A 26,159-nucleotide genomic window follows, 5' to 3' on the forward strand; every position below is an offset into this window, starting at 1 on the left:
AAACTGAAAGAAAATATCTGCAAAACATATATTCGATGAACAACTGGTATCCAAAATATACCGTAAACACATAAAGTTCAACAATAAGAAAATAAACAACTTGATTTTAAAATGGGCAGAAGATCTGAACACACACGTCACCAAAGAAGATACACAGATCACAGATAAGCACATAAAAAGATGCTCAAAATCATATATCATTAGGGAATCACAAATTAAAACAACAAGACAACCGCTAGATACTTATTAGAATGGCAAAAATCCAGAACATTGACAACATCAAATGCTGGCCAGGATGTTGAGCAACAGGAATTCTCATTCATTGCTGATGGGAATGCAAAATGGTACAGCCACTATGGAAGCCAATTTGTTAGTTTCTTACAAAACTAAACATAGTTTTGCCATACAATGCAGCTATCACACTCCTTGGTATCTAAACAAATATGTTGAAAACTTATGACCACACAAAAACCTGCACAGGAATGTTTTATTTATAGCAGTTTTATTCATAGTTGCCAAAACTTGGAAGGAACAAAGAAGTCCTTCAATAGGTAAGGGAATAAGTAAATTCTGATACATCCAGACAATGGAATGTTATGTTGTGATAAAAAAGAAATGAGCTATCAAGCCACAAAAAGACATGGAAGAAAATTAAATGCATATTACAAAGTGAAACAAGCCAATCTGGAAGGCTACTCAGGATCGCCTGAGCCCAGGAGGTGGAGACTGCAGTGAGCCATGATCGATCGCACGCCTGAACTCCAGTCTTGGCAACAGAATGAGATATTGTCTCTATAATTAATTAATTATATCAGTAGTTGTCATGGAGCTCATGGGAAAGGAGAGAGGGATGAATGGGTGGACCACAGGTGATTTTTAGGACAAATTCTATTCTGTATGATACTGTAATAGTGGATACATGTATCAAAACCCATAGAATGTATAACACAAAGAATGAACCCTTATGTAAACGATGAACTTTAGTTAATAACATATCAAAATTGTCTCATCAAGTGTAACAAATGTTACACTAATCCAAGATGCTAGTAACAGGGGAAAATAGGGAGGGGGATATGAGAACACTACCCTGTTCAAATTTTCTATAAACCTTAAAGTGCTCAAAAAATAAAAAATAAAGCACATATAATATGATTTTACCAGTGCTATCAACATGCCTTCCATAAACCTCTGGCCCCTCCAATTTCTAGTCCCTGCCCTCTCGGGATCCCGCCCACTGGTAAATCTCTAGCCCATTCACTCACTCTTGGCTGTTGCTTCTCCTTACACTTTTCACCCACCTTTGAAGCACGCCATTTCCTCCTGTTTCTTTTGGCTGAGTTAGTCCACTTGTGGTGCATTCCATGCCCTGGATGTTTCCCCATCTGGTATCTTCCTTTCTCTCAAAGGAAACTCTTTTGGGGTCATCAGTAAAAGGATCAAAGCACACAGAACCCAAGCGGCTTATTCATTTTGGGGTGTGGACTTATCACAGATGATAAACCTACATGGTCCAGTCTAGATGAATGGGAATAATACATCTTTATTTTTGACCATCTCGCTTGCTTATACCATAAGTAATTTCCTGAAGGTCTTAATTTTCTGGAAGCCATGCTGGAGGCAGGAGTGATTTAGAAAGATGATCTTTATTATACTTGGCTTAAAGCAAAAGGATTTAAAACATGACCTTTATGTTATTTTTCCAAACTAATAATGGAAGTGGTATTAGGGTAATATATTTATAGGTGAGATTCCAGGGCTGATTTAGTAAATATTAATTTCTAATACTTTGTCATTCCCACTGCATTATTCTCCTATAGCTGTCACAACAAATCACCATAAACCGGGCAGCTTAAAACAACAGAAATTTGTTCTCTCTCAGTTCTGGAGGCTAGAAGCCTGAAACCAAGGTGTCGGTAGCACCATGCTCCCATGCTTCCTTCTAGGGAAGAATGCTTCCTTACCAGTTCTGGCTTCTGCCTATTCTTGGCACTCCTTGGCTTGTGGCAGCACAACTCCACTCTCTGCTTCCATCTTCACATGCCCAACTTCCTTCCATTTATGTGTATCTGTGCCAAATTTCCCTCTTCTTATAAGGACATCTGTCATTGGATTAGGGTTTACCCTAATGAATTTGGGGAGGACCCTATTCAATCCACTACAACCACCCTTTATGTACACGTAGCTGGTTTCTCTGTCAATTATATTTTAGAGTGAGGACGTTGCTTCTCCTCTAACAAGATATTATAATAACAATTATTGTCAAATTATTTAATGAATGCTTACTATATGACAGTTACATGCATTAACTCATTTAACCCTCTGACAATTCTATGAAATAGGTGCTATTTTTATTTCTATTTTGCAGATGAGCAGCCAGAGAGAGTTTACATAGGGCAAATATCACCATTACCTAGCAAGAACAAAATAAGAGGAATAAGCAGTCCCCTTGTATTTTGGTTACTTAAAAGGGATGGATCTCAAGACAAAGGAAAATGGTTGGGTGCACGAGGGGCCAGATGCTGGAACCAGTTCTGAAGAAGTGTTCCTGGGGCCAAGAGGATCTGAGAGGTGGCCAGGTGTGAAGACTGAACAAGCTGAGCGTTAAGAACAGCAAAGTTGGCCAGGCATGGTGGTGCATACCTGTAGTCTCAGCTCCCTGGGAGGCTGAGGTGGGAGGAATATGAAGGCCCAGGAGTTCAAATCCAGCCTGGGCAACACAATGAGACCCTGTCTTAAAAAAAAAAAAAAATCAGCAAGCTGGGAAATAAACTTGGGGCACACTGGGCACTTCGTCATGAGGAAACCAAAATCTCCTGCCTTGGCAAGCTTCAGGAGCCATATAAGGACTGAGCCAGCCTCACCCATTACACTGTGTAGGGACACTCTTCAGCAACGACATCATGTGGCAGAAGAAAACATGGCCATAGGGGATTCCTTCATTGTGCAATTACCTATAAGAAGAAGAAAAGGAAGAAAAGAGGAAGAAGAACGAGGAGGAGGAGGAGGTCTAAAAAGGAAATGCTTAAATTCTTGCTGAAAGGTGAGTGAATTTTGGAGTTCAATGTAACAACCAATAAATAACATCTCTCTTCTCTTCTTGGTTCTGTGCCCATTGAAAAATACGACAAAGAGTGAAACAAATGGAAAAGCAAAGTATTATCCTCTTTCTGATAAAGCAAATAACAGAGAATGTAGCTCTAATTTGTGGGCAAATGGGGGTCTTAAAACTGAACCTCAGAATTTAATATTTAACCGACTTCTGGTGCTGGACAGGATGGACACCCTCTCCAAGACCCTGGGGGAGCAGGACAAAGCCAGTGCTCCCCAGAGGTGGTCACTCCCAGGAGGAAAAGCAGAGAGATGTGGAAGGGGCTGGGTACATGTGCCCTGTTTGTCCTCCCAAACACAGCAGGCAGAAGAGTCACTCCACCCAGGGCAAAGTGAAGGAGAGGGTGGAGGGAGATTGGGAATGCTGTGCTCATAGATCTCTCTTGACAAGAATGGGGAGAAAAGTTCCACACCAAAGGAGGGCAAAGCCAGAGAAATAGGGAAGAGGTCTCGGGATCTGCACAGTGAGTTTGTGGAGCGTAAACTCCACGTCAGTTTATGTGGCTACACATAAAGATAACTCCAATAAACCACCTTCAGGGAGCCTGCTCGAAGTACTTGGCATGCTGGCTCCTTACACGGTTTCACTTAACATAATGTTGTTACATAAGTACATCTACCTATCTTTTTTTTCTTTTCTTTTTGTTTGATTCATGCCCTTTTTTTTCTTTTCTTTTTGTTTGATTCATGCCCTTTTTTTTTTTTTTTTTTTTTTCTTGAGTGAATCCTAAGTCAGGAGGCAGTAGGGGTTAGCAATTTAAAGCCCAGACAAAAAATTCTGGTTCAAATCCTAGCTCCATCTTCACTAATTGTGTGACAATGGGCAAGTTACTTAGCTTTTTAGGATCTTACTTTCCTCAATTAAAAGTAGGGAAGAAAATAGCACCTATCCCATAGAGTTGCTGTGAAGAATAAGTGTTGTTGGGTGGCTCATGCCTGTAATCCTAGCACTTTGGGAGGCCAAGGCAGGTGGATCACTTGAGCTCAGGAGTTTGAGACCAGCCTAAGCAACAAGGCAAAACTCTGTCTCAACAAAAAATGCAAAAATTAGCCTGGTGTGGTGCCTTGCACCTGTAGTCCCAGCTACTTGGGGGGCTGAGGTGGGAAGATCACTTGAGCCCAGGAAGTCGGGGCTGCAGTGAGCTGAGATGGTGAGGCTGCACTCCAGCCTGGGTAACAGAGTGAGACCCTGTCTCAAAAAATCAATTAATCAATAAAGTGTTGTTGATGTTTATGAAACCCTTAGAGCTCTACCAGGCATACAGTGAACTACGATGTTGTTGATGATGATAATCATCTTTATTGGCACATGCCAGGACTTGATAACCTTAGTTTGTAATGTGAATCCTATTTAAAAGTATTTAAAAGTATTTCCACTACAACTTAAGAAACTGTCATCCAGTGCAAAGCTCAGGGTAGACAGCAGAGAGTTGGATTTAGCCATGATTGATTGGAGTTTTTCCAGGAAAATACGATGAAGGAAGACAAGAACAAATGACAGACCATGGAATTGAGGCTCGATAATGAGAGAAGTAAAGACATAAAGTGGAGAGGAACCGTGAAAAGATGCTAGGAATAATGTTTTTTTTCAATTCCATTGGAATTTAATGACAGCTAGAGTGGGTTATAGAAAGGGCAAGCTGAAAAGTCATAGAGTAGGAGTCATGTCATTGAGATAATGTGGGGAATGGGGGCTGTTGCTATTACAATGCAACTTCTAGGATCCTCCCAATGGGAAGAATTGGCTAAAGTAAGATAAAGGGCAAGATCTGAGTGGAAGGGAGATCAGGAATGGAGAGACCAGCGTGTTTGAAGTACCACATGTACACATATTGAAGTGTATGATATGAGGTGGTGTTGGAGAGTGTGACAGTGAGCAATAGGTAAAATCTTTCTAGAATGAGGAGGAGCACCTGAGGGATCAGTACATGATGACCATGGGGATTAGTGCATAATGTAGTCTGATGATAGGATATTTAAAGCAGGAAGACACTAAAGAGTTTCAAGAAGAAGAGAGGGAGAATGGGGTGTGCCTTGATGAAACACAAGAATGGTACTTAAACGACCTCCACCTACATGCCCAGGGTGCAAAAGAAAAGGGAAAGAAAACAGATGCATCTAGAGAAATCTGCAAAGGAACCAGGTCTCCAAGGGACAGTCTGGTCAGTTACAGTAAGAAAGCAAAGTTCAGAGAAAATGTTAAAGATATAAGGGATCTTGCTGGTGACTGACAGTGAGTTCAGGGGACACACTGAAAGGGTTTCAGAAGCTGGAGATAGGTGGAAGATGAAGTGAGGGAAAAGGAAGTGCAGTGCCATCACGGAAATGAAAGCCTTGGGACGGAGGGGTCACCTGGATGTCCTGGGCTTCTTGGGCCCTCCGTCCTAAACAAGCATAAAGAGCATCACGGGATTATCCTTGGTAGTCTCAAAGCTGAGAGTCATGGGGAGGCTGTGAACATTGAAGATCCTACCAGGGACACAAAATTACGGGTCCCTTCTTCAATCCTGCCTGTGGTTAGCAGGAGGTTGAGGGAGCGATGGTCCTATTTCCCAGAGGAATAAGAGCTCTGGGCTCCTTCAGGAAACCTGGGGAAGAGGATGCCCAAGTCTGCATGAATACCAACAGATGAGGCCATCGGAAGAAGGGCTCCTAAGAAAGAGAAACCACACACAGAAAGGAAGAAGTGAATATGACCCATGCTCACACACCAACATGCCTATAGCCAGGAGGAAATATGAGAGCTAGGAGGGAATTTAGGAGTCTCTGAATTGAAAGTATTCGTTTCAGTGAGGAGGAAACTGAAGTTTAGAGACGTAGAATAAACTTATTGTAAGAGGAACCTATGTAATATGTCTTAGAAAGCTCTCTTTCAAAATCATTATCCAAAAAGGAAAGAATGGGCCACTTAAAGGAGTATTGATTTATTAATCGGGAAATTTGCTTATGGAAAATAGGCAAAACTTGCTTCGAAATGCTTATCACAATCCACCTAAAATTTCTGTTGGCAGCATCATTATCTGTAGCTGCTTCAGTGGTGACACTAATAAATTCACATTACAGAATAGTAGTAAAGGATTTATTTTTCTTTTACATTTTATATTATGGTCACCAATTGTGAGCTCTGAAGTAAAATGTCCTGTTACATGACAAATTTAAAACAATACATTTTAGAATTTACCTTGACAACACTCTCAGAGAAGATTATTTTAGAAACTATTGATAAATTAAAAATCTAAGTGAATTATATGCCTAAAAGCTTTCTTTTAAGTGATACTTGAGGGGAAAAAAACGTCATCCCAACATTTTTAGACATTGAACTTTACAAGTGTAGAAATGGTCACAGAAAGCCTATGTTATTCTGAAATATATTTTGTTTCAGCTATGTTTGTGAAAATTGACCAGCTACTTGACAAATCTAGATTTTCTTAAAGGCACTCAACTAAATGCTATTGTCTCCTAGGACTTGTCTTGGCCATTTTGATTATCATAACTCTCCAATATAGGCTTTAGGATTTCCAAATTCATACTCTGAAGCCCAAAATTATTCCCACTATAATTTAGAGTTAGCCTTTGAAATAACTTATAGAAAGCATTAATTGATTCCATATCTAGGGGCCTTCTGAGTTGTTTATAACTTATATATATCTACATATATATTTATTGATAAAATTTTATTTTTAATATAATTTACAACCAGATTTCTCTTACAAAAAAGATTCAATCTATTTTAAAAGTATGATAATCAATTATATTATATAATTTGTGCCACAATTCATACTTATCTATTGATTTAGAAACCACATTCAAGATAATCCTCTCTACCAAGAATTGGCCCCCAGCGTAGCAGCAAAGCACCATTAACTATCATTTCCACCGACAGCTGAAGTTGTGGTTTTGCATTCAGCACTTTTTTCCTTGTGTGGAGTATAGAACAAAAGATGTTACTAATGTAATAATGTGAGTCATCATCCAAATCTGTGGTTACTACTACCATGAAAAGTTTTCTTTCTCAGTAGGAAAGTGTCATTGGTCATTCCCAAGATGTTACAGATGAACAGAAAAAAAGTGAATATCGTTGGCACTTCCATTTTATCTAGGAAATAAAACTGAGTTCCTCACTTGTGGGTAAAGGCAAGTCACTGTGGTGACACACCATGTTTTTTCAGTAGATGAGGTGAGCAGGAAGCAGCAATCTGAGATGTCTCTTCAGTGCATTTCACACTTACGACATTCACTTTGTTTCAATAAATACAAATAGCAAACATAAAAATTATTATCTATATATACTTATTAAAATCTCTTCTAATCTCCTCCAAACATATTTATCATATCAGCATTTTGCTTCCTTAAATGTTTTTCTTATTCTTTGAAGAGAAATCCAGTAGTTGTTGTTTTTCTTCTTCTTCATTAATAATACACTTTTCTAGCTCTGCTTCATCTCAAGATAACCATTTGTGTGAACTGGTGTTTTCCAAACTGTTTTCTAGGTAACAAGGCATTTGATCTGACTAAGTGCCTACAAGGCCAATGTATTCTTGGAAGAAACAATCTTCTAGAAACTCATATTAAACAAAGTTAAAGAGTTGTTTTAATGTGGAACTTCTCCAACCTGTAACATTCTGATGGGCTTTATAATTCCCCATACAGAAAATATAGTTTGCACCATTTTCTTAAACTTGTTAAATAAGAAAACACTTTTGTAAGTTTAAAACAGGAAAACTAATATGTTGAGGAAATACTATATATTCCATGCAATAGAGTGAGAAAAGCTGATTTCAGTCACACATTTGTTTCTTTCTTATGGGCAAAGTACACCATTACTTTGTGGTTAGTGCTTGCTGTTATGTCCAAGGCATCTATATTATTATGATGACCAGATATTCATGGTTTGGTGCCAACTTCAATTATGTGGTCCCATTGTCCCTCTGAGCATGTTAGAACTTTTCAGAGTTTGCTGCCCAATTTTTCATTCAGAAAATATATTCTCTGCATATATGGATAAATAATTTGGTAAATCAAAAGAACATAATCTTCCATAGTTAAGAAGTTGTTTCTGCCATTTGTTAAAAGTAACCAGATAACTAAGAAGCTTACCTGAGAGAAAATAAGGCACAACAGGTGAATCAGAGAATTGTAAAATCTTCTAGATCATGGCTTTAACTTCTTTCATGATAATTATGTGATGCTACTAAAAATATTTAACATCCCCAAGCCTGTTTCTACATCCACATAAATTACAAAACCAAAATCAATAATCTTTTTACTCTCTACTCCTTAGTCATTGTAAGGATCCTTCAGGTCTGTGCAAAAATGTCACCTCATTGGTGAGCTTTTTCCTGACCAGCCCTTTTTTTTTTTTTTTTCGGAGACAGAGTCTCCTCTATCACCCAGGCTGTAGTGCAGTGGTGTGATCTCAGCTCACTGCAAGCTCCGCCTCCCAGATTCACGCCATTCTCCTGCCTCAGCCTCCCAAGTAGCTGGGACTACAGGTGCCTGCCACCACACCCGGCTAATTTTTTTGTATTTTTAGTAGAGACAGGGTTTCACAGTGTTAGCCAGGATGGTCTCAATCTCCTGACCTCGTGATCCACCCACCTCAGCCTCCCAAAGTGCTGGGATTACAGGAATGAGCCACTGTGCCCAGCTCTGATCAGCCTTTTTTTTAAGAGCAAACCAGTCCCCGCCCTTCCCCAGTCCCTGAAACCCCCCCACTCCTGCTTGTTTGTTCTTGTTATTCTGACATCCTTTATGTTTACTCCTTTGTTTATTTCTGTGTCCCCCTATCAAGAATGGTATGTTCACCTGTTTAACGTTTAGGACAGAGCCTGACACTTAATAAGTAAAACAAATAAATCTTTGTTGGCTAAATGAGTAAAATACACAATGTAGTAAAATTTGAGGAAACACTTGGAAAGCTATATCAGAATAAAACAGCAGAACCGTAAATAGTTTCCACAAAATCAGGTACATAGAGAAAGCTCAGCATGTATTTATAGGTAATCTTCAATCACACTGGGAAATTAACCAAAAGGGAATATTCATTGTGGGCTACAGTGGCCATGCAAGACTTAGTAGAGCAGAGGAGATCATGAAGAAAATATATAATTTATCTTGAAATAAAAGAGTAGAGAAGACATAGCAGATGGACAATCTGGCACACAGAAGGACATGAAAGCAGAAATAAGCTTGTCTCGTGTTGGGGGCTTTTTAAAAAAATAGACTGATCTTGAAGGAGGCATACATGTCAAAGGGTAATGAGAGATGGATTTTTAAACTTATTCAGTCATTTATTTGACAAACTCTTGTTGAACACCTACTATATGCTGAATTTTAGGTTAGGATTGATGAGAGTAAAAGGCCAGATAAGGACTCCCTGAATGTCAGGCTAACGAGTGAGAAAATGCTCATGCTGCCTCATGGGATTATTTTAAGGGTTAAGAAAACAGTGCACCCAAAGTGCCCCATAGGCCATTTTGCTCTATGATAATATAATCTGTATCATTACCCAGCTGGTGATTGGTCTGGTGAAAACAACACGTTAGGCCATGCATTTAACCAAATGGCCACAGCCAATATATTTCTGAGGATCATGGAACGTGTCAGAATTTAGAAAGCACAGTTGTGGGGAAAGCAGAATAGCAACAAAATAGATTAAGCACCATCAACAAACAGAGCTATTTTATGTTTTAAGAACAGAAATTTCTAAAAATAAGTTATAAACTCAACCTTTCCAAGAATGGAGCCAGACTCTTAAAAAAAATCTATTCTGAAACTAATAAAACATACTTCTACTGCCTCTTTTAGAAGTTGTTGAGTGGAAAATTACAAGTGGTTAAAAGAAATAAATAGCTGTCTATAAGAGCTAACATCTATTCAGAGATATGGAGAAAAAGCAAACATATGCCATGTTCCTCAAAGCAGTCTTCTGCCACAGATTAATAGCGAGAATCATCCTCAAAACATCTCTTAATATGAGAATTACTACTTTTATCCTCAAAGAACTGATAATGCCTCTTTTCATTCTGACAAACTTGACAAAACTTCTGCTGCATGTAATAAATCATGCTTAATTCGTCCACTAGACTCTTTTGAGCCCCTATTGTGTTCTAAGCTGTCCTTTAAATGTTGGCAATACAAAGATCAACAAGGTATAATCCCTGCTCTCGAGGAGCCTTTGATTTGGTGGGAGCATCAGACAAGGGAGTCAAAGGTTTCAATACAGTGTGACAAGTGGCATTCTACAAGTATTAACAGGTATCATGACAGCAAGAAGAATTCAGAGAAGGAATCTCATTTGACTAGGGATGGGAGTGAGAATATGAGAGGTGGCAAAAATGAACAGATGGGTAGGGTCACAGGTAATATGCACAAGACCTCTCTTCTCATGAAGCTTACATTTTAGTAGAGTCAAAGAAAGGAAGATAATAAACAAGGCAATCAACAAAGAAACAAGATAATTTCAAAGCATGAGGATAATATGAAGGAAATAACAAAGGTGATTTGGAATTACTAGGAGTGGATGGAGATCCTTCCTCAGCTGGGTTGGGAACGTCATGTCAAAGGAAGAGACCCTTGAGCTGACACGTAAATGAAAGGAACGGACTGTGGGAAGGCCTGGGGAAGGGTACTCCAGGGAGAGGAGCTAGCATCTACAAATGCCCAAGACAGAGCTGAACTTGCACTTTTCAGAAGCAGAAAGGTCAGCTAAGAGACAACACAGGCCAGGAGACAAGGTCAGAGAGAAAGGCTAGGCAATTAATGTAGGTCTTTCTTGGCCAGATAATAAGGTTTATTCTCAGTGCAAGGGAAGCCATTGAAAGGCATCAAACAGGAAGGGATATGCTTTGATTTACACTTCTTAAGTTCTCTCTAGAAGCTCAATGAAGCTGGATTCAGGGGCAAGGTATGAGTGGAAACAATGAGACCAGTTAGAAGGAGGACTCTTCCAGTGTCCAGGTGAGACATGGCAGTGACCTGGGCCAGGGTATACTAATGGGGATAGGAGAAGCGGAAGGATTTGAGATATATTGGGGCGGTAGAACTGCAAGAATGTGCTGATGAATTTGGTTTGGGATATGAGGGAAAAGAAGAAATAAAAAATCCCTGTAATTGCAAAAATGGCCCTAGCAATTGAGTAGGTGACAATTTATCATATAATAATAACAACTTATGCGTATAAAGTTTTTATTATATAGCAGTCATGGCTCTAACCTCTTTACATATATTACCTCACATGAACCCCACAACAACCCTACAAGATAGGTACTATTCTCATCCCTATTGTACAGACAAGGGAAGAGAGGGACGGACAGATTAACCTCACTTTGTTGTTAAATTACAGCCTCTATGTGAAGCTTTATCGGCTTCAGAGTCTGTGTGCTTAACCATGATATCTTTACGTTTTGTATTACCAGGTTGTGGAATACTAGAGAATGAACTGATTTTAGAAGGAGAAACAAATTTTCCGGTTTTGACATATTGTTTTTGAGATGTCTTACATGGAAATATCGAGTACATAATTGAATGTGTGAGCATGGAATTCAGGGACTAGGTCAACCCTGGAGACATTAGCACACTGATAGTATTTAAAGCCATGGGGTTGAATTAGCTGTATAGAGAGCAATAGAGTACATGGAGATTACAAGAAGCCACAACTAGCCCTGAGTCCTCCAATCTGTAGTGTTCTGATAGAGAAGAAACTCACTTGCAAGATCAAGAAGCAGCATCTAAGTGAGGCAGAAAGAATCCCAGAGGAGAGTGTGGATTTTCAGAACTGAGTGATTAACATGTTGGCTTGATTCTCAGCCAGTCTCTGTCCTCATGGTGGCAAGATGGCTGCAGCAATTCCAACCAATACTCTTCCAAGCTTATAGTTCATAGAAAAGAGAAAGACTCATTTTCCAGAACTCATTTATAAATCCTGGAATCCACTCTGATTGGGCCTTGTTGGGTCATAGGCCCATTCCTGAATCTTCACCAATCATTGTGACTAGAGGACCCTAGAGTAGGCTCCCAACCACAACATATGGATGAAAGGCTGGGACTCAACCATCCTCTATGCACTGTACCTTGCAGGAAATTATTACCAAATTTTGCAAATGACTAAAAAGTACCAAAGGGACATAATTTCTGTGAAGAGAATGCTTTCTCACCAGTTCCAAAAAAAGTCTCAAAAGGTCATCTTATTATGCAAAAGTTAATGACACTTGTGGCTGTCCATGTCTAACCCCCAAATGTACCTTCTCATCTAAGCCACTCTAAGCCTAATCTAAAAGGACTAAATCATAAATGATATGGGTAAATGGAAAATAGAAAACATTAGAGCTTCATTTGAACCAACCACTTTGAAAATAGTTCTGTTTAAAGGATATGTGACCACATGGTTGGGAGCCATTTTACCTACCACTTACAAGAGTTTCTATCCTGTCATAGAGGGTGAGATTGGGAACCAGCCACGGTTGGAATTTTTAGCATCCTTGGCAACGGGGTTCTGTTGGTTCTTTCCCCTTATCTTTGAACACAGAGTCCACTCATTTACTCATTCAAGAGAAGTTTATTGAGCACATACTTGTGTAAGGCACTGTTTAGATACTAGACATACAACAGTGAACAAAACACATGAAAGTCCCTCCCCTCATGAAATTCAAACTCTAGTAGAAGAAGGCAGACAATACTAAATGGAAATAATATGTAAGTAGTTTATATAGTATGTTAGAATGTGATACATGTTTTGGAGAGGGAAAAATGAGATGTGAAATGTCATGGTAAAAGGTTTGCAATTTTAAAGAGGATAGCCACATCTCTTAGATACTTTTATCCATCTTTATGAAGAATTTATTTATACCAAGTACCTTTATTTATGAAGCATTTTTTCTTAAGAAGTTAAAAACATAAAACCAGTGATACACCAAGGTATTTAATGGAGGGGGAAGAGTGGGCTCCCGAAGACACCAGGGCAACATCTCTCATCCTTAAAGGCTGCTGGGAGTTAATGGATGGAAGTTAATTAATGGGAAAGTAGCGCAAGTATTTCTCATCCCAAATCAGTAGGATGATCTGCCCTCTTATTTTGCAGGAGTGGGAAGAAGAGGGAGCTTGGAGAAGCTTTGAGCAGGTCCTGAATAGGCAAGTGAGGGGCTTGCCTTAACCCTACAGGATTCTCAGTCTCCACGTCTACCTCCCACAACATGTGCAAATGCTTACATTCATGGTGGGTTTCTCCCTCTCCCTTGGATCCCCAAAGCAGCAAGAGCTGGTGTGGAGCACTCCCCAGTCTAGGCTGGGGGACGCAAGGAGAAGCCATCCTCACAGCAGTCTCTTCCTGAGAGATGCTAAGGCGGTGGAGAGACTGCATAATGTGCCTTTCCAGGGGGTGTTTCTCTCTATTGATTATTTGAACTGTTAAACTTGATTACATTTTACTTTAATTGTACCATTTGAAATTAGATTCAGGTAAGATTTCAAACTTATTAAATAAATGGCCCATAGGACATTTGGGGGAATGTCTCAAAAAAGAAAAATGTAAATAGAATCTACATATAAAAGTGATCAATTTAACAAGCTTTAAGGGGAAGGCAAAGTAAAACAATATGATGTAATTTGCAGCCACCAGACCGGCAAAAATATTCAAATATTGATAATATCCAGTTTTAGCAAGAAAGAATGTGGGGAAAAATTAGCAATGAAATAGTTATGAAAGTACTTTGGCAATATTTGGCATATGTTCTGATCCCACAATCCTGCTTCTAGAAAGCATTTCTGTAAAAATAAGAGCACAGATTAGGACACACATTTACAGCCTGTGCTATATGAACAAAGCTGAAATTAACTGGGACTACCGAATAAATAAAATACATTATATTTGCAAAATATATAATTCATAGCTAATATGACATTTTAATTTTTATATAAAAATATATTTTTATATCTGCCCATATGCATATGCATGCATGCATACCCAGACATGTGTATACACACATTTACATACCTGGAAGGATGTTCCCGATGTGTTAAATGGAAAGAGCTAGTTGAAGGGTAGAATAAATGATATGATAACGTTTTTGTTTCTAGAGAAGGGAAAGATACTCTATATGAACATATATTTATATTGTTGTTGGAAAAATTTAAAAGTTGTGGGAAAATCCCCACAAACTGCCATCATTGGCTCACTTGGGAAAGTAGAGGTGGAAAGGCAGTGAGCTATGATTAGTTTATATACCTTGGTGTTATTTCAGTTTTACAACAAACATATATTACTTTTTGTAATATAGGAAACTATAGGTTTGTAACTAGGAAAATATATATAAATTTCAAGAGGACAGATTTCAGATTAATATGAATAATTTTCTAATAGGCAGGATTATTTGGATTTAGCGAGGGCTCTTCAAGGGGTCACTAGTCTTTCTTAATTGTGAGCGGTCAAGCATAAGTTAGATGAGGACAGTGTTAGGAAGGAGATTCTGGTATAAGATGCAAAGTTGGACAATGTAGCCTCATTGGTCTTTTTAAATTATGACATGCCAGGCTTCTACAAAGTCCACATTTCAAGGCGTTTCTGCGTTTGGCCAAATGAGATGCTAGACTCTCATTTCAATGCATTTTTGCGTCTTTATTTACTTCAAATTAGTAAGAAATGTTGAAACCTAGAGTCATCCTAAACTATTTCTTTAGCTCTGATCCCCCCTCAAGCAGCAAACAAAATTACAACACAATGTTGTAAGTGCTATTCTGAAGATGTGCTTTGCAAGGTGACTCTAAGCCAGCCTAGAAGTGGAGGGATCAAGGAAGGGTTGCTGGAAGAGGTGACACCTGAGCTGAGTCTTAAAGGATGTTTTCTCAAGGCTCACCTCCTCTGCAGAGTGCAGACCTCCACGTCGCTGCACTTTGCACACGTCTCCATGATCGCTTGCATTGCACTAATTGTCTTTGATATGTATCTTCCTTCCTAGTTTCTAAATTGCTAGGGAGAAACTATGAGTTTTATTTATCATTACACCTCAGCCATGACTGCATGACTAGCAGAACATTCAATAAATATTTATAGAATCGATTGGTTTTCATTTTAGTTCATAACTCACAGACGTAGTGAAGGACATCCATTCTTATGAATTCTCATGATGAACATTAATTCACAGCACAGTTCTGCATCTGCTTTTGAGTTTGTTGTTGTTGTTGTTGTTGTTGTTGTTTTGAGACAGAGTCTCACTGTCACCCAGGTTTGAGTGCCATGGCACGATCTTGGCTCACTGTAACCTCCACCTCCCGGGTTCAAGCGATTCTCCTGCCTCAGACCCAAGTAGCTGAGATTGCAGACGTGCGCCACCAAGCTCGGTTAAGTTTTGTATTTTTAGTAGAGACAGGGTCTCACTATGTTGGCCAGGCTGGTCTCAAACTCCTGACCTCAGGTGATCGGCCCGCCTCGGCCTCCCAAAGTGCTGGGATTACAGGCATGAGCCAATACGCCCGGCCTATTTTTGAGATTTTCTGCTGCTACTCCAGCTTAGCCTGACAGAGCTTTCACTTTTTGTTCCTACCCCTTCGTGTGCATCTGAACAATCCACAAGCCTCACGAACTCCTGTGGCTTCCCTCCCTTCGAGCTGTATCCACCATGACCTCTTGACCAGGGCTGAGGGAGAAGGAGGAGGGTCGTGCCACTATCCTAGCACCCTCTGTCAAGAGCCACAGTCATCAGAACCATGGAGTGACTGACTGGGTGAGTGTGCTTTCGTCCTTCCATCTCCGGAAAAAATGACGGGAGCTCTGAAACCATTTTGAAACCTGAACATCGTGGCTTGACTTTTTCTAAACTGGTATCTGTGGGCAGGTTAAAATGATCTGGTTCTAATTTCATATATTTCTAAGTTTGAGGCAGAATGAGGCAGTGGAAATTCATTATAATGCAGTGTTTCCCAATGTGTGAGACACGTTCTGCCCAGAGTTTGCAAAATGATTCTATATGTACGCATATAAACATGTTTTGGTTAGGAATGTATTTGTTTAAGTTATCTACTTTTAAAGTCACATATTTATTTACGCTTCAGTTGGGCCAAAGAAAATAACGTGTTAATTTAAATTCATTGTTACACAAATAAGAGTATAAGTGCACTTGGAGAATCAAAGTCAGGAAGCACTGATATATTCCATTCCTCAGGGTTCAGGGCCTGCTCTAGGTGCTGGGGGCCCTAGAGAGAATAAAACAGACAAAAGCCCAGCCCTCCAGAGCCAATATTCTGATGTAGTAGAGACCGTCAATAAACAAACAAAGCATGCCAGCAGGAGAGGAGTGGTTTAGAGAAAAGTGAGCAGGGGTTGGTGGGGGGCTGGGGTGTCACTGTTTTGTGCAGGTGACCTACTGATGATGCCAGAGAGACCTGAAGGAAATGGGGGCTGGCCTGGTCTCTCAACCCTGCTGAGGGTTCTTTGCAACACTCCATGCTACCCACTGGTACTCAAGCTCCTTCTGCTCTACCCTGAGCTAGGCCTGATATAATGGTTGACAGACAAAACTATCTTTTAAAAAATTTTTTTATGTTTCTGTCTTTTCCTGTGTCCTCACATGGCAGAGAGAAGCAGCAAGAGACGGCCAGACAAAACATCTTAATGGGATACTTAGTCTCTTTGTTTCATTCAAGAGGGATCTACCAAAAGGGATCACCTCCTACAAATGCTAAATGGGTTTAAGGTTTATACAGCAGCTCATGTGGGTTCAGGGATGCACAGGCATTTCCCAACGTGTCATCATCCCTGGTTCTGATAAAATCCAGAGTGGGGCCTGTAAATCAGAGGGCTTCACCCCTGAACCCACAGCAGCACCACCAAGACACAGTGTCCCCACTGTGCACAAGATTACAGCTTCTCTCTTGCTGCCCTTTCAATATACCAGTCCTTACTCAAGCACACAAAAACTGTGCTTTTGCCCCTGGCATTTGAGAAGTTTGTGAATAGACACCAGCACTTGGATATTGATTTTTCACACGATGGTGACTTTTAAATTCCTCTATTGCTCCTGACTGAGTTTAGCAACCTCTTGACTATTCTGGAAAACCAAAGAACTTCGGAAACAATCAAACAAATATTAAATTCAATCACCCAGCAACACTGGGGAGGCAAATGAAATTTTACTCCTAAGAATCTAAAGCCCCCATAGTAAATATTTCTTTGCTGGCTGGCAAATGAATGTTTCTCAGCCCTTCTCATGTCTGGAGACACCAAGTAATGGGACAGCTCTTAAGCTGTCCCCATGGTTTGTGACCAAGACTGGGGGCTACTTTGGCCTTCGTGGAAGTCCAGCACACTTCAACTGAGCTGCCAGTGGTGCCGAATCCTGGAAAATGCTGAGAGCCCTAAAAGTGGATCAAGGAAAGGCTGTCAGTGCATCATCTCCCCCAGTCCTTGGCAAAGCCAGGGAGCAGGGTCCTGATCCCCCAGATTCCAGCTCTTCCTAATGTTTCTCAGGAAAGAAGACTGCCCTGCTGCTGATGGCCCAGGAGCCTGCCCAGAAAGCTCTGGGTAAAAAGCAAGATGAAAAGAGTCCTCCAGTCTCCCCTCACCAATGCCCTGCAGCTCACCACACCTTTCCTGTCCTGTATACTTGTCTAGGAATGACATCCCCAGAAGAGATCAGGCATGGTACCACAGTGTGTTGATGGGGAAAGGCAGAAAGGGATCACTTTGGAATATGAAATCAATCAAGAGAGGGTAGTTCCTAGGGAACAGCCTAATGACCCCAAGACTGAAACGAAGACCTAGGTGGTGGGAAAGCAATGAAGAGAAAAGCTTCTAGAGACATAATCCATGAAGACCTTGGTGAAGTCCCACCTATTAATACAAAAGGTGCCAAGTCCCAGAATTGTCAGAGTGCAGCAGGGGCACAATGAAAGCCTTGTGGGAATGAATTGGCTGGTGGCCTAGGATGTGCCATCAGAAACTATTCCTGTTTTCCATGCTGTATGCCAATAGCACTGAGCAGAGTCCCTTTAAGGCAAAACAATGGTTAGGCCATATTACTCATTTAACTGAAGGGCTAAGTATGTAGATGGGGTTTTTAGACATTATGAAAAGTTGACTGTGGTGGAATTTGAACTGCATTTAGCCTTTCATTCGGCTTCTATGAACTTTCCTAGTTGTACGGCACCCTGAAGCTGTGTTATCAAGATTCACCATCATTTGATCTTGGTTGCTTGTGGTCTTAGTGGCTTGGGTTTCCTGTCAAAGGCATTCCTGGTAAATTATTCCAAGGGTTAGTTACTTTGTGCATCTTATTTGCTGTTATCTTGTAGTTACCCCTTGCACTCCATGAAATTCTAGCATGCTGTCATGAAAAGGACACCCAGGAGAAGGAAACCCAATTTATTTAATTAAAATCAAAATGTGTTAAGTACTAAGTTCACACTGGGCATAATTAACAATTTTCAAACACTTAAACAGACAATCATATACATAACATCTATTTAAGTCTCAGTAACATTACATTGCATTCCAGAAATCTGTCATTCCCCCTCCACCCCCCACATCCCACTCCACACACAAATATTACACGAGTTAATTCAGGTTACATACTTTAAATTAAGTTGACACAATGTACTTGTGAATGACAAAACATGTTCAGAATGGAAACATTATTTGAAAACACAGAAAATGTGCAAATTAGTGACAACTTATATCCAAAACGTTAATTTACTAAATCCTTCTTGTCTATTCTGAATCACCTAACATGCCGTCAGTATTATGTTAAAAAGTTTTTAAAAGAAATAGACTGTTATAAACATATTTCTAGCAGTTCTTATTGTATTTCAAAATAACTGTAAAATCAATGTACTTGGCTTTGGTTTACTGACTGCTTTCCAATAATTTTTTAATCCAGGAAAGAAGAATATCCAGTTCACTGATGGCTTTGTAGATTCCTTTGTTTCCAATCTGCAGATAAAGTACAGATATAAGAGAATAAATTTTTCCTATTTTAAAAAACAAAGTTTTTTAATATAAGGATTTAGAATTCTTACCCTATAAAATATTCTTTTCATCCTGGTAATGGATTTCATCTCTCTAGCTGATGAAGCACAGGAAATCTAAGAAATCAACAGTAATTACAGATAATATTGTTGAAGAGGCATTAATGATACTCTTTCATTCATTCAACAAATATTTATAGAGCAGGTATTATGTGCTGAGCACTAGATATGCACTGGCAAAATAAATAATGCATGATCTTTTTCCTCACAGAGCTTAAAGTTTCATGGGAAAGCAGATGACAAATAAAACAAAAACAAAAATTTACAAATTACAATTAAAGCTGTGTTAGCAACTCTCGAAACTCTATGACAGGGATTTATAGGAACCGCCTACCTTCAACTGGGTGGTCAAGGAGGGGTCTTTTGAAAAATGACATTTGTATTAGCCCATTTTCACACTGCTATAAATAACTACCCGAGACTGGGTAATTTATAAAGAAAAGAAGTTTAATTGACTCACAGTTCTGCATGGCTAGAGAGGCCTCAGGAAACTTACAATCACGGCAGAAGGTGAAGGGAAACCAAGGCACATCTTACCTGGTGGCAGGAGAGTGAGCAGAGGGGGAAGTGCCATACTTTTAAACCATCAGATTTCATGAGAATTCATTTACTGTCATGAGAACAGCACAGGAGAAACCTCCCCCATGATCCAATCACCTCCCGTCAGGTCCCTCCCTCCACATTTGGGGATCACAATTCAAGATGAGATTTGGGTGGGGACACAGAGCCAAACCATATCAACATTTAAGTTGAGATAACAGAAATGGGAAGGCACAGGCTATATGAGAAACTGAGGAAAGGAGAGAGAAAGTTGGGGAGAAGACACAAGAGAGTAATTCAGGCAGAGGAAAATATGCTCCTCCGAGGCAAGAGAAAGCTCAGTGCTTTCCAGAAACTGAAAGAAAGCAAGCAAGCATGGCTGGAGCAATTAAGCAAGAGAAATGTGGGAAGCATGAAGGACATGAGAATGACAAGAAAAAAAAATTACCTTTTAAAAAATCACTCTGCCTATCATGTACAAAGCACAGAACAATGTTCAGTGTAGACTACAAGGAGAAGGCACCTAGGACATTAAATATTACTTTCGAAATTAGGAGAAGCAGCAGGCTAGTATCTCGAGCAGCTGGCTTGTAGGCTGGCTGGCCAGGGGAAACTACCAGTCCGCTTTGTGCAAGTGAATTCTCAAACCCTATCTGAGCACAGGAATCACCTGGGCGTCAAACAGGAGAAAGTTAATATCCTACTCTATTCTCCCACAAATTTCTATAGGACTAATAAAGGAAAAGAAAGGAAAGAAAATGTGAAAATGCCTAATTTATCTACTTAGTTTTTACTCATAAAACTTTTAGCACTGGAATAGACCAAGGAGATTGAATAAGCCGATTGTTTGCACTTTGCAGAAAGGGAGACCAAGGCCCAGGTAGTTAAGTCACTCACCTAACATCCCACAGGGAGTCCTATGCTCGTGACAAAATAGTGTCACTATCTAACAGTTAAAGATAAGAGTTAAAACTCGTGAAACGGAAGTGGGTAAATGATAACATTTAGTCTCTAAATGTCCTCTCGACAAAAGAATGTCATATCAATAAAGATAACACTTAGTTCAAACACTTGAAATGAAAGTGGCTAAATGATAACATCTATCAAAATGCTGAGGTCAACCAACAGGTCTCTTCAGGGGTGTTCATGGTGGTGACGGTTTTCTGGCTCTGCCCAAATTGGGATGCTACCTTCAGATCAGACCCTGCATAGGAGGGAAGAGACTCTTCCTGTGAAAGGGGCTTTCATGATTAGGCACAGCAGACTGCTGTGATCAAGGGGCTGCAGACACAGACTGCTCAGCTTAAGGTACAGTTTGCAGGATTCATGAACACAGGGTTAGACCTCACTGTGATAAGAGCCCTGACTTCAGAATGCTTTCTAGGTGTATTTCATGTTACATTTGCACCAAACTATACAACATGGGATTCTTTCTCTGGGATGAGTGGAATGTTCTAATCTGTCATTAGTGCATCTGTGAATGCTCAGTAAAACTTCATCCTAATATTTAATGCATAGAATCCTTTTTAAAAGTAGTTCCTCATGTTTCTAAAATCATGTGTTAGGATTCAAAGATTTTTTTTTTTTTTTTTTTTGAGGCAGAGTCTTGCTCTGTCTCCCAGGCTGGAGTGCAGTGGCGCAATCTTGGCTTACTGCAAGCTCCACCCCCGGGGTTCACGCCATTCCCCTGCCTCAGCCTCCCGAACAGCTGGGAATACAGGCGCCCTCCACCACGCCCGGCTGATTTTTTGTATTTTTAGTAGAGATGGGGTTTCACCGTGTTAGCCAGGATGGTTTCGATCCACTGACCTCATGATCTGCCCGCCTCGGCCTCCCAAAGTGCTGGGATTACAGGCATGAGCCGCCGCGCCTGGCCAGGATTTAAAGATTTAACACTGAAGGTAAGAGACCAAAGAACCAGCCACATTCTGGACACTACCGAAGTTAAATAAAACAGGCATTCCTGTCAACTGTGTCTTCTACCTGGGAAACTTGGATGTGCAATGCATCCCACAGCAGGTGGGAAGTGCCAGAGAGGTTTTGTCCCTCACTCACACCAAAGGCACATGCTACTCTAGGAAGAGTAATGAGAGTCAAAAAGGAGGAAAACACTGTTCAATTAAAAAAAAAAACTAGCAGTGCCAGTGTTGCCACACAACTGCACTCTGGTTGAAGGAATGCTTCCCGGTGCCTTGAGCACTGCTTACTACGAGTGACCCCTAGTAAAGATCTGATCTACAGAGTTCTCATTTTCTTTATACTGTTGTAAATGTGTCCACAGGTCCAGTAGGATGGCAGATTTTACTGCCGTAATTCAGATTGCTTTGCTTGGAAAGAGGAATTTATTCAAAGAATGATTTCCTTTTCTTTATATTTTTGAGTCTAGCTGCAGCGGCTGAAATTACAATGTGTGATAAAGGGTCAGCAGTTTTATCATAAGAATGGCTGAACGATTTGACAAACTCAACAGAAGCTGATATGATCTGGACCAGAGGCAAATTATTGGTAGGGCTAGAATAACTAGAAATCAGCTCAGAGAAAAATGTGAGATAATCATGTCATAGGAAACATTCATTCTTTATTATTAAGTCAATATATATTTATCACATACTTACTATATGCTAAGCATACAGCAATGCCTCTGCCATATAGCACTGATTTACTGTTGACAATGAATGATTTACAGTTGAACAATGCTGGATAACGTTAGGTGCACTGACCCCCCGCCCCACCAATGAAGTTAAAAACCTGCGTAAAACATTAGACCCCCCCCAAATTAAACTAATAGCCTACAGTTGACCGGAAGCCTTATTGATAACATGATTAATCAATTAACACATATTTTGTGAGATAGATAGATAGATTGTATTTTTATAATGAAATAAGCTGTAGAAAAGACAATGTAACTAAGAAAATCATAAGGAAGAGAAAATATATTTACTAATCATTAAGTGGAAGTGGATCATCATAAATGTCTTCATCCTTGCCATCTTCATGTTCAGCAAACTAAGGATAAGGAGGAAGTGGAGGAGTTGGTCTTGCCATCTCAGGGATGGCAGAAGCAAAAGAGGTGGAGGAAGTGGAAGGGGAGGCAGGAGAGGCAGGCACTTGGTGTAACTTTAAGGAAATACATAGTAATTTCTGTCTGACTTTTTTAATTTCTCTAAAAATATTTCTATACAGTACTAACCCTTCTTCCACCATTTGCTTTAGTTTCAGTCCTCGTATCATAGAAAAGTTCATGTCATAAAAGAAGTTAAAACCACTCTTGAATAATTGGAACCCTTATGCCAATTGTCTAATGTCAATTTGTTTTCTGGGATTGCTTCTTCTATGTCTTCTTCCTCATCGTCTGGCACTGGTTCAGAAACACTCATCTCCATCAAGTCGTCTTCTGCTAATTCCTGTGGTGCAGTGTCTACTAGCTCTTGAATTTCTCCAAGATCCATATCTTGATATCTTCAACCTGCTCCTGCCCCCACCATCTTTTTGCCATAGACACAATCTATTTTGTGATTTCTTTGATTAGTTCTGTTGTAAATTCTATGAAGTTATGTACGACATCTGAACACACTTTTCTCCAGCAGGAATTTATTGTTTCAGGCTTGATGACTTTCATGTTTTTTTCTATAACAATGATAGCATCTTCAATAGTGTAATCTAAACTTTGATGATGTTCCCTCCATTGGTGTTCTCTTCCATATTGTTGACAATCCTTTTTGTAGAATACCACATGTAATGAGCCTAAAAGGTCTTTATGACCCCTTGATCTAGAGGCTGAATTAGAGATGTTGTATATGGGGGCAAGTAGATTACTTCAGTGCCTTCTGTGTTTAATTCTTCGGGTTCTGGGTGGCCAGGAGCATTGCCCAATATCAAAAAAACGTTAAAAGGCAGTTGCTTACTGGCAAGGTACTTCCTGACTTCAGGAACAAAGCACCAATGGAACCAATCCATAAAAAAATGTTCTCATTTTCTGGGCCTTCATGTTGTACAATGGAAAGACTGGCAGCTGGTGTTTATCTCTTCCCTTCAAGGCTCAGAGGTTAGCAGCTTTACAAATAAGGGCAGTCCTGATCATAAACCTGACTGCATTTGCACAAAACATTAAAGTTAGCCTATTCCTTCCTGCCTTAAAATCCTGGTGCTCACTTCTTTACTGATAAATGACTGTAGCATTGTTTTCCAGAATAGGACACTTCCATCTACATCAAAAACCTGTTCAGGCAGATACCCTTCCTTCCCAGTGATTGTTTTAATGGCATCTGGGAACTTGTCTGCTGCCTCTTGGTTGGTAGAAACTGTTTCTCTTGTTATCTTGACAGTTTTTTTAAGCCAAATGTCTTTCTAAAATTTTCAAACCATCCTTTGAGGGCATTAAATTCTGCAGCTGTAGATCCTTCATCTTTCTTTTGTTTTAAATTGTCATATAATGACTTCACTTTTTCTTGAATCATATCAGGGTCTATAGATGTGCCTTTCTTTTAGCAGTCCTACACCCACATGAAAGCTGCATTTTCAATAGGAGATTTTTAAAAAGGTGTTTCTGGAAAAGTGCAAGGTTTTCACACCTGCTGGTGTAGCTGTAGCAGGGGATTCAGAAATTTCCTTTTCTTTTTTCACAATGGTCCTTATCCTGGACTTGTCAGGCAACCTCAGCTGCATACCTCACTCTGTGGTACATATCAAGCAGTTCAACTTTTTCTTGTAATGTCATGACTTTTCTCTACTTCTTGGGAGCACTTCCAGCATCACCAGTGGCACTTTTTGTGGCACCCATGGTATTATTCAAGATTTATGATATTGCACAAAACACAGTGAAAAATACACAAGAGACCACTTTTTACTGCAATGGGCAATTTACTACAGTGACAAACTGCTCACATGAAGATAATTAACATTATACAGCATTTTAAGTGGATATTCACAGCACTTGAGCATACTACAATAGCAACAGGAGGTGGCTACAGAATTATTATAGTAGTACAGCATTACCACAAGTAATTTTGTGCAGCTAATTATCTTCATGTGAGCAGTTTGTCTCTACTCACATTACTCATTGGTAATGTGCAATTTACATGCAATTTGAACACATTGATTGGTAGAAGCAGTTTCTACCAACCAAAAGGCAGCAGACAGGTTCCCAGTTGCCAGATGCTTTAATATTGTATCTTTACCTTTGTTTACAAACCAAATGGCTCCATATATGGTCTGTAAGTGTCTGTGTGTATAGGTTTTGATACATTTTAACTTTTTATAATAGATTTGTGGATACTTCATGGTAGCAAATGATAAAATAGACTAGTACATACATATATTTTATGCATTAATGACATATTTTTCTTAATTTTTCCATATTTCTAGGATACACATCTCATCTGCAAGTTTGTCAAATTGTTACAAATCTCCAAAAAATTGTCTAGTGTATTTATTGAAAAACAAAACCACATGTAAGTTGACCTATGCAGTTCAAACCTATATTTAATGCACAAAAGTACCCTGCATGAAAATCACCCCAGGGTACACTTGAGGCCTCACAGTCTGCCAAGACACAGAGTGATGCACAATTACAATTCTATATGACAAATACTGTGATTAAAACAAAAACATGACTGCTCCAGGAGACAGAGGAGAGGTAACCTCTGAAGTCTTCCAGAAGAAAAAAAGTGACTTGTGTCTTGAAAGATGAGTGGAAAAAGCAGGAAGAAGAGATGAGTAGGCAGGGAAGCAAGGTGTTCAAAGGCTGGAGAGCGCAGAGATAATTTAAACACCCTTCAGGTCTCAGCTGAATACCTCGGACTAAATCCAAGTTATGGCCCCGAACCTCCACCTCTGCTGCAGCACATCCTCCTATGTGCTCCCTTTGCAGCACCAATCACAACTTGAGACTAGCCAAGATGGGAAGAAAGCATTTTCTTTCTTTCTTTCTTTCTTTGTTTCTTTTTTCTTGAGACGGAGTTTCACTCTTGTGGCCCAGGCTGGAGTGCAGTGGCGCGCGCAATCTCAGCTCACTGCAACCTCCGTATCCTGGGTTCAAGCAATACTCCTGCCTCAGCCTCCCAAGTAGCTGGGATTACAGGCACCCACCACCACGCCTGGCTAATTTTATATTTTAGCAAAGATAGGGTTTCACCATGTTGGCCAGGCTGATCTCGAACTCCTGACCTCAAGTGATCCACCCGCCTCTGCCTCCCAAAGTGCTCGGATTACAGTGTGAGCCACCACGCCCAGCCAGCATTTTCAATGAGCTCTATGAGGACAGAAGTATTGTCTGTCGATTTTCATTGAGTCCCCTGCATCTGGAATAGTGTTCAGCAAATACTAAATAATAAACATTTGCTGAATAAATCAATCAACAAATAAAATGCAGGCATCGACTTACTGCCTCAGGGTCCACAAGCCTACTTGTTTCTTAAAAATTTGAAGCATGGCCTAGACATTAGTGACCCTTATAACTTTGTCTAAAACAATCAGATAAACAAGCAATACAATCCTTA

At 39.9% G+C, this 26,159-nt stretch overlaps 1 protein-coding gene and 1 long non-coding RNA gene across 2 annotated transcripts in view; one reads left to right on the plus strand and one right to left on the minus strand.

Annotated features, from left to right (window-relative positions):
• On the plus strand, window positions 1–18,449 carry LOC105369818 (uncharacterized). The gene is made up of 3 exons (XR_001749193.2): window positions 1–3,040; window positions 13,187–15,824; window positions 16,675–18,449. It is a non-coding gene; the product is annotated as an uncharacterized LOC105369818 (long non-coding RNA).
• IL26 (interleukin 26) overlaps window positions 18,445–26,159 on the minus strand; it is a 24,462-nt gene continuing 16,747 nt past the window's right edge. Inside the window, exons 4-5 of the mRNA NM_018402.2 lie at window positions 19,114–19,179; window positions 18,445–19,027 (exon numbers count right to left, since the gene is read on the minus strand). Coding sequence (NP_060872.1) covers window positions 18,941–19,027; window positions 19,114–19,179 — 153 coding nt within the window. The 3' untranslated portion in view covers window positions 18,445–18,940. The remainder of the gene's footprint in view (window positions 19,028–19,113; window positions 19,180–26,159) is intronic.

The sequence above is a fragment of the Homo sapiens genome, chromosome 12 (assembly GCF_000001405.40).
Source record: "Homo sapiens chromosome 12, GRCh38.p14 Primary Assembly".
Classification (NCBI taxonomy): domain Eukaryota; kingdom Metazoa; phylum Chordata; class Mammalia; order Primates; family Hominidae; genus Homo; species Homo sapiens.